This window comes from Homo sapiens, chromosome 2 (assembly GCF_000001405.40).
Source record: "Homo sapiens chromosome 2, GRCh38.p14 Primary Assembly".
Lineage (NCBI taxonomy): Eukaryota > Metazoa > Chordata > Mammalia > Primates > Hominidae > Homo > Homo sapiens.
This window is the reverse complement of record NC_000002.12, coordinates 89,607,058-89,625,235: the sequence shown is the minus strand read 5'-3', so window position 1 is coordinate 89,625,235 and position 18,178 is coordinate 89,607,058. Positions and strand designations below refer to the sequence as shown.

Genomic DNA, 18,178 nt, shown 5'->3' with positions numbered 1-18,178 from the left:
AGTTTTATGATTATAGGCGTGAGCCACTGTGTCCACCCAAGACTGAAGATTTTTAATTTAGGCCTTTTTGAGGGTTTAGGAATCCCTTGAAATTAGATGGAGAATTATTGCCTTCATCTATGCTGTTTCTTATGAAGGGTTTCTGAATCTTTTAATAGATTATAAAAAATATCTAACACTTTCTGTTCTCCTTAAACCACTTTCTCTTAAAGCTCTAGATACTAGATATCTAGGTATTAGATAGCACCTTCTGCCCTCCCTACGTAATTATGTAGAATTTCAAAATCAAGAATGTTTCCTTGCTTTCATTGGTATATTGTTGTACTCTTTAGAAGTTAAGCAGTGAACATATATTGATAGTACTATTTTATCAGTAGTACAGTATTCTTGGGACTCTGGCTACTAATTATCTGTTCCATTGCAAGACAACTTTTTACTTTATTTCCCAATTACCATTCAACATCGCTTTCCATGATATATGTCTACTTCAAGTTAGATGCATTGCCTGGAGCCCATATATGCTAGCACTGCCATTTGCAGTTTTCTGAATACCTTTGTGTTTGCCCTAACTAGCTTCCTTGCTGTCTTTGAAATATTTAATATATGATGATAAAATAATTAGCTTCCTTTTGTAATGTGCTTTGCTTCCTCTCTAATAGTTGTTCTCATTCCTTTTTATTTCCTCCTTAGCTCTATGAAAGTTTTTCTGTTAATAGGGATAGTTAGGAGAAAAGGGCAAGGTAGGAGGAGCATGTGAGGCTTAGGGCTTTTAAGTTTGATGACTCAGTGTTACAGGTTTTAAAAGGTAGCAGTTCTCAGTATATTCCATTTTTTTTAAAAATGTACAAATATGGTCTTTTTAGATGGATGCATGCAGTTCGTCAGAACTTAAATACTGAGGAAGAAGTGGAAAATGTAGCAGACATTGGTTTTGATTGTAACATGTGCAGACCCTATATGCCTGCGTCTAATGGTAAGAGAGTAATTTAAACTGTGAGTCTGCACTCTTGTACCACTCACTTGCACCTTACTGTCCATAACCAATGAATTAGCTTAGCTCCACTCTATTTTGTCTTTGTGAAACTTACTTTGACAAGTATTTTATGAAAAATATTATTGTTGGTTATACATGACTTATCACAACTTGTTATAAAACAATTTACATGAAACAGTAAAAAGCATATACTTTAGATGTAAACTATAATTTTGCTTCCAAGGAACATGATCTTGTAGTTATTGACAATATGTTAAAATCCAATGTGTTGATTCTTTCTTAGCCAAGTTTTCCTCCATGACTTGAGTATTTCCTTCATCACTTCTTGTTTTGTTGTTGCTTTAAAAAGTGCTTTTAACTTTAGTGTTCAAACATTTATTTTAATAAAATGAGTATAGAAACAGAAATTTTAATCATATATAAGTATGTAAATACACTTTACCTTTTCTGAAAAGAATTACCTGGATTTTTTTTTTCATTTCAGTGCCTTCCTCAGACTGCTGTAGATCTTCACTTGTAGCACAAATTGTCACAAAAGTAAAAGAGCTAGTTAAAATTTGGAATGCTTTACTTAATTTAATTAATTTACTTTGCTTAATTTTTACATAATTGGCTTACCACTTGTAAAATCTGCTTCAATCATATGGTTGTTCTATCCAAATTCCGTAATGTTGGTAATCATTTCCACAATGATATATAAAATGTCATCCAGCTTTACTGGGGCAGTATTCCTATAAATTTCAGCAAGTTGGCAACAAAAATAACAGCTCTTAGAATAACCGTTAATGCCATACTTGCTTTGGTTTCATTGATATATTACTGTGCTTAATTATCAGTTAGCAGAAAATACGGCCTAGTTAGCAAGCAGATTTCTTTTAGAATTAATTCAATCTCTTAATTTTTTAAAATAATTAATAAGCCTAGTATGGTGATTAATATGATATTCTTATTAAACAGTCATTCTTTTGAATACTTGTATTTAATAGCACCTGATACAAAAACATTTGGATAGTACAGAAATTGTTCTAAGGAACAACAGTTTTGTACATTTAAAATTAAATCTGCAGGATTTGTACTTATTTATTACTTCTCCCTATTAGTAATTATGTTGATAATCTGATTTTTCCAGATGAGCTTCTGGAGTATTCTCTCTTCTCTTGCGTAAATAGATCCCTGCCTTTTGATCTTTTCCAGGAAAAAGCTCATAGTGGATTAGCTGAGCATTGAATTTATTTGCAGTGCTTCTAACGGTTTTTATTGGGACATGAAAATAGAAATGCCAGGAAGACTTTTTTGAGATGGAGTCTCGCCCTGTTGCCCAGGCTGGAGTACAGTGGCACGATCTCGGCTCACTGCAACCTCTGCCTCCTGGGTTCAAGCGATTCTCCTGCCTCAGCCTCACGCATAGCTGGGATTATAGGTGCCCGCCACCATGCCAGGCTAATTTTTTGTATTTTTAGAAGAGAAAGGGTTTCACTGTGTTTGCCAGGATGGTCTCAATCTCCTGACCTCGTGATCTGCCTGCCGCCTCGGCCTCCCAGAGTGCTGGGATTACAGGCATGAGCCCCCGCAACGGGCCCAGGAAGACCATTTTTAAAAAACATGTAACTTTTCTGCCTATAATCCAAGGAAGTTTGACCTATTGTTCCTAGTTTTTATTGGGTATCATGAAATTAATTATTCATGCATTTCATAGATACGTAATTACTTTCTAGAACTACAGTCACATTCCCTTGACATGGGTATTTTGGAACAGTAATCAGTCAAATTTAAAATGAAAGTTTAAATTTGTATTCTTGGGATTTTGTAATTTTAGACCCACCCAAGACTTATACCCAGGATGGTGTGTGTTTGACTGAATCAGGGATGACTCAGTTACAGAGCCTCACAGTTACAGTTCCAAGAAGAAAACTGTCAAAACCAAAACTGAGATTGAAGATTATAAATCAGAATAGCGTGGCCGTCCTTCAGACCCCTCCAGACATCCAATCAGAACATTCAAGGGATGGTGATATGGATGATAGTCGAGGTAATACTAATTTATTTTCCGTGAAATATGTGTGCAAGAATTACAGCATATAAAGTAACTTTTGAAATATGTGTATGATTTACCAAGGGGTAAATCACACTGACTTAGATAACCCCGATGTGACCCTTGCCATCTCCAAATGAGTGATCTTCTTAGACCTTGCCTTTTCGGGTTCTCTTCCTTTCACACATTTTAGAACAGACCTACCTTACACAAATCTCAAGGAGCACCATATCTTTGAAGATCACAGGTGGGGAAATACAGAGGGCTTGACTTTAGTTTGCTAGATAACGACACAAACCTTCTCAGATACTGTGAGTTTGGATAATACCATGTTTAAGTTAAGGTAGTTGAGGCATATATTCTAGAAATGGAAAAGCTGTCATTTAATATTACTTCAGGTATAACTTCATATTCACCAGTGTGCATCATAAAGTATTGGTTTATAAACATTTTCTTAATCAAAGTAAATATAAGGTTTTTCTAGCTGAATTCTTTTTTTTTTTTTTTTGGTTGGGAGACAGGGTCTTGCTCTGTTGCCCAGGTTAGAGTGCAGTGGCATGATCTTGGCTTACTACAACCTCTGCCTACTGGGTTCATGCGACCCTCCTACCTCAGCCTCCTGAGTAGCTGGGACCATGGATGTGGGCCACCACGCCTGGCTAATTTTTGTATTTTTTTGTAGAGATGGGGTTTTGCCATTTTGCCAAGACTGGTCTTGAACTCCTGGGCTCAAGCCATCTGCTCTGCTCAGCCTGCTGAATTCTTGAGATAGCAAAACATTTTAATAGTAACCTAAAATCCAATATGAATTAAAGAGGATTACTGTAGGTTTCCTCATTTTTGGGGCAGTTATTTATTTTCAACTGATTCAGAAGTGAAGTGATAATTATTTCTGTTCCATTACATTTTATTTCATAGTTTTTTTTTTTTTTTTTTTTTTTAAGGGGCAGTGTCTTGTTACATTGCCCAGGCTGGTTTCCAGCTCCTGGGCTCAAGTGATCCTCCTGCCTCAGCCTCTCAAGTAGCAGGTACTATAGGCATGCGCCACTGCAGCCGGCTTTTAGACAATAGAATTTATTGAATACCTACTGTATGTCAGATGTTGGAAATCATATCAGTGTACAAAGCAGGTAGAATTCTCTGCATAGAGTTTATATTTTAATGTTAGGTAACTCAACTCTTAAAAAAAATCAGTTAATTATAATGTGTTTGGCAAGTTCCATGGTAAAAATAAAGTTTGATAAAGAGGAATTGCCTGGCCAGGCACAGTGGCTTATGCCTGTAATCTCAGCACTTTGGGAGGCCGAGGTAGGTAGATCACTTGAGGTCAGGAGTTCGAGACCAGACTGGCCAACATGGTGAAACCTGTTCTCTGCTAAAAATACAAAAATTAGCCGGGCTCAGTGGCATGCACCTCTAATCCCAGCTACTTGGGAGGCCAAGGCAGGAGAATTGCTTGAACCTGGGAGGCGGAGGTTACAGTGAGCCGAGATTGCACCACCGCACTCCAGCGTGGGTAACAGAGCAAGACTCCATCTCCAAAAAAGAAAAAAAGGAATTGGAAGTACAGACAGGTGTTTAGGGTCCATATGAACAGAAAGCAGTATTTGAGCACAGATTTTAAAGAGGTGAGTGAGTGAGCCACTTGATTACCTGAGAGAAGAGCACCCCAGACAGTGAGGAAGCCAGTGTAAAGGCTCTGGGTGAGAGTGTGCTGAGCATGTTTGAAGAGTGTTGTGGAGACCAACAGAGTGAGCAGAGGGGACAGTCAGAAGGTGAGAAGGTTAGAGATGTGAGGACAAGAAGGACGGCTCAGTATATCTCACACAACCATAAGGTGATGTGTCAGTAGTTTGTGCTTAATAGCAATGGAATGGGAGGCCATTGAATGTTCCTGAAAAGAAGAACACCATGATCTTATTTATATTTTAAGAGGAACACTCTCCTATGATATAAGTAGATGATTAGGTGCAAGAGTTATGACAGGTAGATCAGTGAGAAACAATGGTCCAGGTGAGAGGTAATTGTGGCTTTGAAAAGGTATGTCTTTTGTGGCCGGGCTCGGTGGCTCATGCCTGTAATCCCAGCACTTTGGGAGGCCAAGGCGGGTGGATCACCTGAGGTCAGGAGATCAAGACCATCCTAGCCAACGTGGTGAAACCTCGTCTTTACTAAAAATACAAAAATTAGCTGGGCGTGGTGGCAGGCACCTGTAATCCCAGCTATTTGGGAGGCAGAGGCAGAGGATTGCTTGAACCCAGGAGGCAGAGGTTGCAGTGAGCCAAGATCGAGCCATTGCACTCCAGCCTGGTGACAGAGTGAGACTCCATCTCAAAAAATAAATAAATACATGAAAAGATATGTCTTTTGTATGTTCTTGATAATTTTTGTTTTGTAGTATGTTTTGGGTCTATGTTGCTGGGAGAAACACTTTCTGATGTTTGTATGTAACTGATTTTCAGGTACAGTTGAACAGGTAATTTGATTTGGGGGCTTGGAGTTTGCAAAGAAGTAGTCCATATACTTGGAGGAATTGATCAGATCAGCATTAACAAGAATTTCCATTTCTGAGGATGTTAAAAAATGTCTGAAAAAGGTTTCCATAGTCTCTTAAATTTGGGAAGTGCTCCATTTCACAAAATATGAAAGGTTTCTTGATAATAGTACACATTGTTTCCCAAATTATGTGATTATAATACCTTTTAAAAACAACACAGAAGATCTTGGAAGGTTTTCCTTGTGACTTACCACTTGTAAACACTGAGAAATGGTGATATGTTTCAATTTCATATTTTCTCATTGACTCGTATCACGGTAAAAGAAAATCAGTTGAAAAATTACCCTTGCTTTTTTAAAATTTATGTGATAAAATAGCCCATCTGAATTTACTGAATTTGTCTTTATTTTTATTGAATATGAAAAAAGATTGTTTAGTGTGTTAGATGTTAAATGCTAAGACAATTTTAGAATTTAAGGAATTGAATATACAGTATTTTCATGACTAGTCCCTCATGTTCATTTACATGCCAGGATCTCACATCCTTTGCAGAAGGAAAGGTACATTCCTAGGGATAAAATAAATGCATGTTACTTGGACAACATTTTTGCTTTCTGTTTGCTAAATAAAAATCCTTTTTAAAAATTTAGTATTGCCACACTTTGCCATATTAAAAATGTTTTAGATTACTATATTATCCTGAAACTACATGTACACACACACCACTAAAATAAGTTTTAAGGTATTTCATATGCCTGTACGGGAGAGAAAATAGGAAAAGAATACAATCATCATAAGTTCTTATTATTACATTATGCTGAGATTTCTAATAACGCTGTCCTTTTCTGGGTATTTTGTATTAAACCTAAAATTTGTGATGTTTTAGACTGTTTCACTAACATGTTTTGATAACGTCTCAGTACCCTTGGGAAAGCATTATAAAGTAGTGGGCAACGATGAAACCTACTCTGGATGTTTTTAGGCAAATTTTTTAACTTCTCTGATGTTAGTGTTCTCTTTTATAAAATAGGTGAACCAGGATGAGCCCATGGGATAGTTGTGCTGATGAGGTGCAAGGATGCGTGTCAGGCACCCAGCACTGGCTCTTCCCAGACATGGAGTGCTCAGTAATCGTGAGCTATTAGAATACAGGTGCCCAACCAGTGCTTGAGCAATTGTGTTCTGTGTCCAACAGAACTCAACAGAATCCCACGTTTGTCTTTATATGTGAATTCAGTTCCTTTTGAGTTAGTAAGAAATTTTGCCTGTGTTGGGGTAATTGAACTTTCAGGAGGAGGGAATTGCCTGCCACAATTATTCTCTGAACTTAATGTTTCCATGTCTTTTTCTTCATTTTGGAAGTTGTGGAAAAATTATAATGAAAGAGTATATAAACGTTTTCCTCTGTATTATAGCGTATCTGACAGTTTCCTTTATTAAAAAGTACGATACATTAGGGAGAGACTTAATGAATTTAAAATTAAAGTTTGAAAAGTGTTATTGACTATAAGTGATCTTCAGCTGTGCAGTTTTCAACTTGAGGTTGTCAGAATGTAATATTACACATTATATTACACACATCTACAGAATCCAAATTGTGATGTTCCTGGAGTATTGGAACAATACCTATGACTTTTTGTTTCTATTGATTTTTAACTCTTCTAATAACCACTTCTTTAAGAAAAGTCATACATCATCACTTTGGTGTATCAGAAACAAATTCCTTATACAATAAAAGCATACTTCTTTCTCATTCACCTACTGGGATCTAGAAACCCTGTTAATGCAAGAAAAAATCCCAAACCTCAATAAAATAACACTCTGTTTGTCTGAAGAGTGGAAACACAACACATTTCCTCTCAACTGGTGGTCCCAGATCGACCATCACAGTGTATGGATGTGTTTGGAGGTGTGGGAATAGGACTGCTCTGAGGCTCTAGAAGGCCAGCAGGTGGGGCAGACTGAATGGAGGGAGGGGACTGGCATTCAGTAACTACTGGAGCGTGGGAAGAGTGAGGTAGACTGTCCATCTGGTGAAGGTGGCTGCTTCCTTGAGGTTTGTTACTTTCTGTAATGTTAATTCCCTCAACTTTTAAAATTTGATTTTTAGACAAGTTATACATTCAAATGATTTAAAATTGGAAAATAATAAAAAGGTAAACAGTGAAGTCTTTCCCTTTCCCCTGCCTTCATGCCCCCAGTTTGCATCTCCAGAAACCTCAGAGGTTTCTCGTGTAACTTTCCAGATGTGTTTTATGCATGTACAAGGAAATGTGTGTTTATATATATAGTGTGTGTGTGTGTGTGTGTGTGTGTGTATATATATATTTTGTTCCTTTTGTCTTCCTACTTTTTACTGTCCTTCATTTTTTTATGGCTGCAAATATTCCTTTGTATGGAAATATAAGCAATTTAATTTACCTGTTCTTTCCCCTGTTGATAGACCTTTGGGTTTCTTTCAATCTTTTTTTTTTTTTTTTTTTTTTTTTTTTTGAGACAGAGTCTCGCTCTGTCGCCCAGGCTGGAGTGCAGTGGCATGATCTTCGCTCACTGCAAGCTCCGCCTCCTGGGTTCACGCCATTCTCCTGCCTCGGCCTCCCGAGTAGCTGGGACTACAGGTGCCCGCCACCACGCCCGGCTAATTTTTTTGTATTTTTAGTAGAGACGGGGTTTCACCATGTTAGTCAGGATGGTCTCGATCTCCTGACCTCATGATCTGCCCGCCTCGGCCTCCCAAAGTGTTGGGATTACAGGCGTGAGCCACCGCTCCTGGCTTTCTTTCAATCTTTTACTGTGAATAGTACAATGAATCACCTGGTATATTTATAATGTTGTAGGTAAGTGGGCCTGCAAAGGTGAATTCCATGCTAAATCCAAAGACATAATGCATTTGAAACTGTTTTTGGCAGGTAGGATACAGTTTTTTGTTGTTTTTTTTTTCATTTATTTTTATTATACATATCTGAGGTATACAACATGCTTTGTATACACAGTGAAATGATTACTATGGTCAAACAAATGTCTGTATCCTTCACCTTCCACAGTTACTCTCTGTGTATGTACACCTAAAATCTCTTTCAGCAAATTTTCAGTACACAATATTATTAACTATGGTTCTCATGCTGTGTATTAATTTGATCTCTAGAATTATTCATCTTACCTAACTGCAGATTTGTACCCTCCGACCTACTTCTGCCCATCCCACCCATCCCCTACCTCCAGACTCTTGATAACCACCATTCTACTCTCTATACATTCAGCTTCTCACCCCCCTGCCTCCCATTCTGCTTCTTAAGTGAGATCATACAGTATTTTTCTGTGTCTGGCTTACTTTATTTAGCATACTTTCCTCCCGGTTCATCTATGTTGTCACAAATGGCAGTATCTCCTTTCTTAAAGCTAACTATTCCATTGTATAAAGTCCTCATTGTCATCAGTAAGTTCTTAGAAACTGTGGTTAAGAGGGGAAAAAAAGTATGACAAAACTGATTTTTTTTTCATTTTGCATTATGCCAAAATTAGATTGAAGGAAACAGTGTTACTTGAGGACCTGCTGTATGTTCATTTAGCTTAACGTCTCAGTTCCCAAGAACCTATTGATGACATTAAGGGAGGACTTAATATATGTATAAACAAATGTCACAATTTCTTTATCCATTCATCTGTCCTTGAATGGGTAAGTAAATTGTCCATTAGGACACTTAGTTTGTTTCCATGTCTTGGCTATTGGGAGTAATGCCGCCATGAACGTGGGAACCCAGATGTCTCTCTCAGATGCTGATTTTATTACCTTTGAATATATGCCCAACAGAGGCACTGTTGGATCTTATGGTAGTTGTATTTTTTTTTTAAGGCAACTCTATACTGTTTTCAATAATGGCTATACTAATTTACATTCCTATCAACCATGTACAAAGGTTTCATTTTCTACACATCCTCACCAACACTTATGTCTTTGACTTTTTGTTAATAGTCATTCTAAGAGACACGAGATGATATCTATTGTGGTTTTGATTTTCATTTTCCTCATGATTATGATGTTGAGCATCTTTTCATATACCATTTGACCATTTGTGTGACTTTGGAAAAATGGCTATTCAGGTCCTTGCCTATTTTAAAATCCAGTTATTTGGGGTTTTTTTTTTTTGCTACTGAGTTGTGTGAGTTCCTTATATGTTTTGGATTTTAACCCCTTATCAGATGTGTGGTTTGCCAATATTTTCCCCTAATCCCTGTGCTACCTTTTTACCCCGTTTTGTTTTTTTTTTATTGCTATGCAGAAGCTTATTTGTTTGATGTAGTCCCACTTGCTTATTTTTGCTTTTGCTACCTGAGCTTTTGGTGTGATATCCAAAAAATCATTGTCAAGGAGGATATTAAGGAGTTTTTCTCCTATATTTCCTTCTAGGAGTTTTATGGTTTCAGGTGTTAGGTATTTAATCTATTTGAGTTGCTTTTTATGTATGATGTGTAAGATAGGCATCAGGTCCAGTTTCATTCTTTTGCATATAGATATCTAGTTTTCTTACCACTACTTATCGAAGACACCATCTTTTCCCTATTGTATCTTATTGGACTTGTCAAAAATTAGCTCATAATATATGTTTGGGTTTATTTTTGGGCTCTGTATTCAGTTGCATTGATCCATGTGTCTGCTTTTATGCCAGTACCATATGTTTTGATAACTATCACTTTGTAATATAAGTTGAAATCAGGTAGTGTGATACCTTCTACTTTGTTTTTCTTTCTCAAGATTCTTTTGGCTATTCAGGGTCTTTTATGATTTAATACAAATTTTAGAATTGTGTTTTCTATTTTTGTGAAAAATGCCTTTGGAAATTTGATAGGAATTGCATTGAATCTGTAGATCACTTTGGATAGTATGGACATTTTAACAATATTCTTCCAATCCACAAACTTGGGGATATCGTTATATTTATTTGTGTCTGTAGTTTTTTTCTGTTTTTTGAGACAGAGTCACGCTCTGTTGCCCAGGCAGAAGTGCGGTGGTGTGATCTCAGCTCACTGCAACCTCCACCGCCTCCTGGGTTCAAGCAATTCTGCTGCCTCAGCCCCCCAAGTAGCTGGGATTACAGGTGCCTGCCACCATGCCCGACTGGCCAATTTTTGTATTTTTAGTAGAGACAGGGTTTCGCCATGTTGGCCAGGCTGGTCTTGAACTCCTGACTTCAGGTGATCTACCTGCCTTGGCCTCCCAAAGTGCTGGGATTACAGGCGTGAGCCACCATGCCCGGCTGTGTGTCTTCAGTTTACTTTGTCAGTATTTTATAGTGTTTAGTATATAAAGCTTTCACTTCCTTCATTAAATTTGTTCCTCAGTGTTTTATTCTTTTTGATGTTATTTTAAGTGGAAATGTTTTCTTGATTTTTTTTCAGATCATTATTTGTATAAAGAAATGCATCTGATTTTTGTGTATTGATTTTGTATCCTGCTACTTGACTGAATTCATTTATTCTAGTAACTGTGGAATTTTTAGGGGTTTCTACATACAGGATCATGTCATCTGCACACAGGGATAATTTTACCCCCTTTTTTCTGCTGATGCCTTTTATTTCCTTTTCTTATGTGATTGCTCTGGCTAGGACTATGTTGAATATAAGTGTTAAGAGTAGGCATCCTTGCCTTGTAGCAGATACTGAAGAAAAGCTTTCAGTCTTTCCCTGTTGTAGGTTTGTTTTTGAATAGGCAATACCTGTGCATGATACAAGAAATACAAAGGTCTTAAAAAGAGTGAACAATGTTAAGTTAGCCTACTTTTTGGCCATCCCTTCCTTGGAAAGAACCAGTGTTTTCTTATAACTTTCCAGAGATTAGTCATCTAGATACAAGTATGTATATATGGGAGAATTTCTCATATTTGGGTGATATGCTCTTTTTCTCTTTTCTTTTCTTTTCTTCTGGTCTGTCTTTCTTTCTGTCCTCGTCTCGTCTCTTCTCTTCTCTTTTCTTCATTTCTTTTGACGGAGTCTTGCTTTGTCATCCAGGCTGGAGTGTAGTGGCGCAATCTCGGCTCACTGCAAGCTCTGCCTCCCAGGTTCACGCCATTCTCTTGCCTCAGCCTCTGGAGTAGCTGGGACTACAGGCACCCACCACCACGCCCGGCTAATTTTTTGTATTTTTGTGTTTTTAGTTCCTCTCCTCTCCAGGAGAGGAACAGGGGCCACAGGGAGCTGATCATGAAACACACTGAGGGTGTTTCATCAGGGGAGTGACGTGAGCATAGTCACATTCAGGAAAGATCACTGCCTCTGGGAAGACAGAGGGTCAGGGCAGAGCCTGGAGGCCAGGAGAATGCCACCTTCAAACAGGGTGCAGGAGGCACAATTCTGGACAGGGATGTCCATGGCCAGAGGAGTGGTCCAGCTCCTAGAAGATGAGGAGAGACCGAAGGTGAGGATGGCTCTTCAGTTTCAGGTTTAGGCACCTGGACAGATGGTCTTGCCTTCTCCAGTGGCAGAAAGCACTGAAGGGGAAAGAGGTTGGGGGAAGGGACTGTGTAGGTTGAGCAGCCTAAGTCTGAGAAGCTGGGCCACTTGCAGGTGTTGGTCCAGGGTGCAAGTGCATTTGGTGAAGGGGGAGACTAGGAAGGGAGGAGAAAGTCCAGTCTGTTACTAGACCTCACCATGCTGCAGGTGTCTGGGCCAGCAGGTCGCAGCCGGAGCTGTGCAGCTGGCTGCTGTCACATCCCTTCCTCTCCCAGCTGCCTTCAGCTGAGCTTAACGCCAGCAGAGGCCGAAACACTTCACAAATGCAACTTGTCAGCTGGGAGGTGCACTCAGAGCTCAGGAACACTGTTTTCCCTCTTTATTGTTTTCCATCATTTTTTTTTTTCAGTCTGGGTTTTGGGTCCCGTCAGTTCCTTTTCTGTTCAACACTGAGCTATGTATCCACCCCTCTCAAGGTTGAAAAAGAGAAAGACTGTAAAAGTGCCCTGCAAAGAAGAGGCTTCCAACTCTCTGGGGGTGGGGGGGTGGGGGGCTCTCTTCCTCCTCTTGTCTTCTGGGTTCATTCCAAATTATTCCCCAAAGGAAAAATCACTGAAGGACTGGGGGCGGTGGTGGGGAAAAGGACAGTCTCCCAAGAGGTCAGGTGAAGCCCCAGCCTCATGGTGTTGAGGGAGGGGCTGGGGGAAGCGGGAGCCTGTTCCTAGGAGACACTGTCTACTGGACACCTCATCCTAGACGGCTTCCCTGAGTTCTGACACTGTTCTAGGAGTAGGAATCATTATCCCACGCTATGGAGAAGGAAACCAAGGCCAGGTAAAGTTATGTAGGGCGCTTAAAGTTGCAGAGCCAGGAATAAAGTCCGGATTGGGACTCAGGTCTGTGGGCAATCCAAGGCCGCCCCCTTTACACTTCAAATGCTCTTTCCCCCTCCGGAAGCCCTCGCGTCCTCATCCCTACCCCACCTCTTGTTCCCCAAGCGTGGCTAGGGCTAGGGCTCCAGGGCTACGCCAAGCACCCTTCGGTCTTCCCGGGAAGAATTTTCCCCGGCCCGGGGCTAGGGTCTGGCGCTGGGGCGCTCCTGGGACCTGCGGGATCACCACTACACTCTGGCGCGCTGAGCGCGGTGAGCTAGGGCGCCAAGGCACAGGTGGGGCTGGAGTCCAGCGCGGAGGCGCGGGGGGCGGGACGCGGGGCCGGGGATCGGCCAGGGACCGCGGCAGCGCCGCAGTGCCAGCCCAGCGCCGGCGACTGCCTGCCCCAGCCCCTCAGTGGCGGCTTGCTCTCTTCTCTCGCTCCGAACCAGACACAGCCGCTGTCGCTGCCATCTGGCGCGCCGCAGACTCCCGAGAACAGCCCTGGCTGTCAGCGGGCACCAGCCGCTTCCTGTGCCCATCGCGGAGACTGGAGGGGCGCACCACGGCCACCGAGCCAGAGGCGCTTCAGGAGGCAAGAGAAGTCCCCGCGCGCTCCGGGACCCGGCGCAGCTCATGGTGAGCGCCCTCTGGGGCTCGAGGGTCCCTTGGCTGAGGGGGCGCATCCTCGGGGTGCCCGATGGGGCTGCCTGGGGGTCGCAGGGCTGTAGTTGGGATCGCGCACAAACCGACTCTGCGGCCCAGCCCGAAATGCTGCCGCCAAGGAGCAACGGCACCGCGTACCCGGGGCAGTTAGCGCTATACCAGCAGCTGGCGCAGGGGAACGCCGTGGGGGGCTCGGCGGGGGCACCGCCACTGGGGCCCGTGCAGGTGGTCACCGCCTGCCTGCTGACCCTACTCATCATCTGGACCTTGCTGGGCAACGTGCTGATGTCCGCAGCCATCGTGCGGAGCCGCCACCTGCGCGCCAAGATGACCAACGTCTTCATCGTGTCTCTGGCTGTGTCAGACCTCTTCGTGGCGCTGCTGGTCATGCCCTGGAAGGCAGTCGCCGAGGTGGCCGGTTATTGGCCCTTTGAAGCGTTCTGCGACGTCTGGGTGGCCTTCGACATCATGTGCTCCACCGCCTCCATCCTGAACCTGTGCGTCAGCAGGTCATCAGCGTGGGCCGCTACTGGGCCATCTCCAGGCCCTTCCGCTACGAGCGCAAGATGACCCAGCGCATGGCCTTGGTCATGGTCGGCCCGGCCTGGACCTTGTCCAGCCTCATCTCCTTCATTCCGGTCCAGCTCAACTGGCACAGGGACCAGGCGGTCTCTTGAGGTGGGCTGGACCTGCCAAACAACCTGGCCAACTGGACGCCCTGGGAGGAGGCCGTTTGGGAGCCTGACGTGAGGGCAGAGAACTGTGACTCCAGCCTGAATCGAACCTACGCCATCTCTTCCTCGCTCATCAACTTCTACATCCCCATGGCCATCATGATCGTGACCTACACGCACATCTACCGCATCGCCCAGGTGCAGATCTGCAGGATTTCCTCCTTGGAGAGGGCCGCAGAGCACGTGCAGAGCTGCCGGAGCAGCGCAGGCTGCACGCCCGACACCAGCCTGCGGTTTTCCATCAAGAAGGAGACCAAGGTTCTCAAGACCCTGTCAGTGATCATGGGGGTCTTCGTGTGTTGCTGGCTGCCCTTCTTCATCCTTAACTGCATGGTCCCTTTCCGCAGTGGACACCCCAAAGGCCCTCCGGCCGGCTTCCCCTGCGTCAGTGAGACCACATTCGATGTCTTCATCTGGTTCTGCTGGGCCAACTCCTCACTCAACCCAGTCACTATGCCTTCAACGCCGACTTCTGGAAGGTGTTTGCCCAGCTGCTGGGGTGCAGCCACGTCTGCTCCCGCACGCCGGTGGAGACGGTGAACATCAGCAATGAGCTCATCTCCTACAACCAAGACATGGTCTTCCACAAGGAAATCGCAGCTGCCTGCATCCACATGATGCCCAACGCCGTTCCCCCCGGGGACCAAGAGGTGGACAACGATGAGGAGGAGGAGAGTCCTTTCGATCGCATGTCCCAGATCTATCAGACATCCCCAGATGGTGACCCTGTTGCAGAGTCTGTCTGAGAGCTGGACTGCGAGGGGGAGATTTCTTTAGACAAAATAACGCCTTTCACCCCAAATGGATTCCATTAAACTGCATTAAGAAACCCCCTCATGGATCTGCATAACCACACAGACATTGACAAGCATGCACACACAAGCAAATACATGCCTTTCCAGTACTGCTCCCTTTATCATGTGTTTCTGTGTAGTAGCTGGTGTGCTTAGAAACCTCACCCCATTGATTGGTAGTTCAAAGAATTGGCAGAAGCAGTTGCAATAAACTCAGTCAAATGTACCCAGCCTACCAGAGATGGAACAATGATCCTGTGAGAGAAGAGAGTATGGTGCTGGCTCCTTAAAAAAAAAAAAAAAAAATGATACTTGGTCCTTAAAAAATATGCTCTCCCCTCCCTTTTTAAACAAATGGCTTTTTCAGTCACTTGTTTGTGTTTGAATTGATTTTTAAACAGCAGGTTTTGTGTGTGTGCAGTGATGTGGTGGGAGCACAGCTTTCCTGGGTCTGGATTCCCGTGGCTTTGTGCTTGTGTCATTTCTTCTCTCTGTGCTGGTGGGGGTCTCTTTACCATAGCTTAAGAAGTCTCCCTGATTTATTCTGGTATCTAATAAACACAGATTATTTGTATTATGTGGTGACTATCTTTGCTTTGCTACACTGGGTTTCAGGATTGCTTCTGAAGAAAGGATGAGTGCATCCTTAAAATGCAAAGAAGACATTTGCTGGGTCTGGAAGTACATGCTTATTCTCTTTACAGTTTGGCCTTAAAGATACACCAGGGCAAAGGACCTTGAGGAGCTTCTGTTTTCTCAGGTTTCTTTTTATTACTTATACACATGTTGGGTCTGTGCTGAAACCTGGCTTCAATGGCATGGCATTAGATCTTCTCAAGCCCAGATTTTTTTTTCATTTGGAATCTTTCTTGAAGTAACATAAGACAACTCTCCTTATTCCTAGACAGATGCGATCAGTTCATTGAAAAGATCATGTAGAATAATATCTTGAATCTTTCTCCATCTGAAATCTGTAGCATGTTTTAGAATCACCTGGCTTTTGAGAAATCCTGTTTTCTGAAGGGCTTTGAAATGTATGAATCAAGATGCTTTAAAAAAGAAACCTATTTTTAAATAGGCATTTTCCTTAGTGGACAATAGCAAATAGAGAAATGCTTTTTAACTAAAATGTAGAAGCCAGAGATGAAATGTGAATGAACTTGAAATTGGAAAATCTGTAGGTCGAGGTGCTCAATAGAAAAGCCCAACTGACTCCAATCATTTTGTTTTTCCTCTCTGCAGTGTGCACAGTCAAGGGGAGTGTTTTATTCCAGACCCACACCAGTTGAGAGCATATTATTACCATCAGATCTAAATATGAGCACTATTAATGGAAGCAAATGAAATGTGAATATGCAATTTCTTGCAAGTCCCTGATTTGAAGCAGTTTTATCAAGGACAGTTCAATCAATTTTGATCTCTCTAAGGCTAATTTTATTGTCAGTCTTCTGTGCAGCCATATCTTGATCACTGCAAAATGTGCAGCTCCTGGCACATCGTACTTAATAAATATTTGTTGAATGAATGACTATTTCTGGAATAGTGATATTGAAAGCAAATCCTATTCGGTACATCAATTTTTATATATAATTTAGTCAAAATGATACTGGAATCTGAGGCCCGTGTTCAGTTTCTGACCTCCTGTGAATGGATAGCTAAGTGAACCATTAGGCAACATTAGGGGCAGTGAAAAGCACACAGCTCTACGATTCAGGAGATGGTCGCATGACCTTGAGTGAGTCAATTAACCTTTCTGGGCCTCATTTTCTGTCTGTGTCTGTAAATGGAAAGACTTCAGCTGGATCACTGTTTACCCAATTGTGCTTTGTGATGCAGATGTTAATGGATGGGGTCTCTGGTGAAATAAGTTCAGCAAACCCAGGTTCAACACCTGTTTTCTCGATAGGACTTCTTAGAGCTTCTCCTGTGCATGATGCATCCTCCAGTGCGAGAAGATTCTGTATTATTTCCCAATGCCATTCACTTTGTGAACCTTGTTTGGTGGAATTCCTGTTACTGTTTCACTGGAGTCCACAGTCACTACTTGAGAAACTCAAATCTAACTGATCTGGAAGTCTTTACAATATTCTGTTCTAAAGCACGGGTTGCTATAAGCAAAATCTTTTGTGAAAAACACTGTTCTAGGCTCCAGTTTAAATAAGTTCTGTGTTATGGAAAATGGGTTATGTGAGGACTTTGGAATTTCCTTCTGTAAAATATCACTCACCATTCATTATAATTACGTACTATGCTCTAGGCATTGTTCTAGATGCTGGGAATATAGTTGTCAATCAAATTCTCTGCTCTCTTGGAACATTTATGTGAGCTGGGGGAGAGATAAGCCAATAAAGAGATCTGTACTATACTGCACTGCATTGCACTGTGCTGTACTGACCAGGATAGATAATGCCAGGCAGGGGTAATTGCTATGTTGCAAAAAGCCCAGGGTGAGTAGGGTGGTGAAGCTGCTGTTTTATTTATGGTGGTCAGGGGAGGACTTTCCAAAGAGCCACATGAAGAGAGACCTTGATGAAGTAAGGATTGGAGGGCTGCTAATGTCTGGGAAGGAGAGCAATCCAGGCAGAGGGAGTGGCAAGTGCAAAGGCTTGGAAATGGGATTGTTCTTGGCACCCTTGGAGGAGTGTGGCTGGAGGGCTATAAAAGAGGAGTGTGATAGGATTAATGTTAATTGCTGTAGCAGCAATTGCAGCAGGCATGATGGAGACCCAGCCTGTGCTGGGTAAAATACATGTATTAATTCATTTCACTCTCACTGCCCTGTGAGGTAAGCACTTTTATTAACCCATTTTACAGATAAGGAAATGAAGGCATTGGCAGGCTAAATAACCAGCCTGTGGTCACATAGCTCCTGAGTGGCAGAGCTCAACTTGAACCCAGGTAGCCTGGCTGTGGAGTCTTTAATCCTAACTGCTCTTTGATGGTGAGAGAGGATGCCAGGATATCTTCAGTCAGCAAATGCACTAGTGCACAGATCAGGACATTCAGTTTTTTGTTCATTTATTACTGAAATGGTTAATTGATTCATCCCCACAGCTATACAACAGCAGATCTTCACTGTGTACCTCCTCTGTGCACAGCTTTGTGTTTGGAGGGAAGGCACCCTAGGGTTATGGGCAAAGTA

General features: G+C 42.2%; 1 gene; it reads right to left on the bottom strand.

Annotated features, from left to right (window-relative positions):
• IGK (immunoglobulin kappa locus) overlaps window positions 1–18,178 on the bottom strand; it is a 1,378,008-nt gene that overhangs the window by 610,133 nt on the left and 749,697 nt on the right.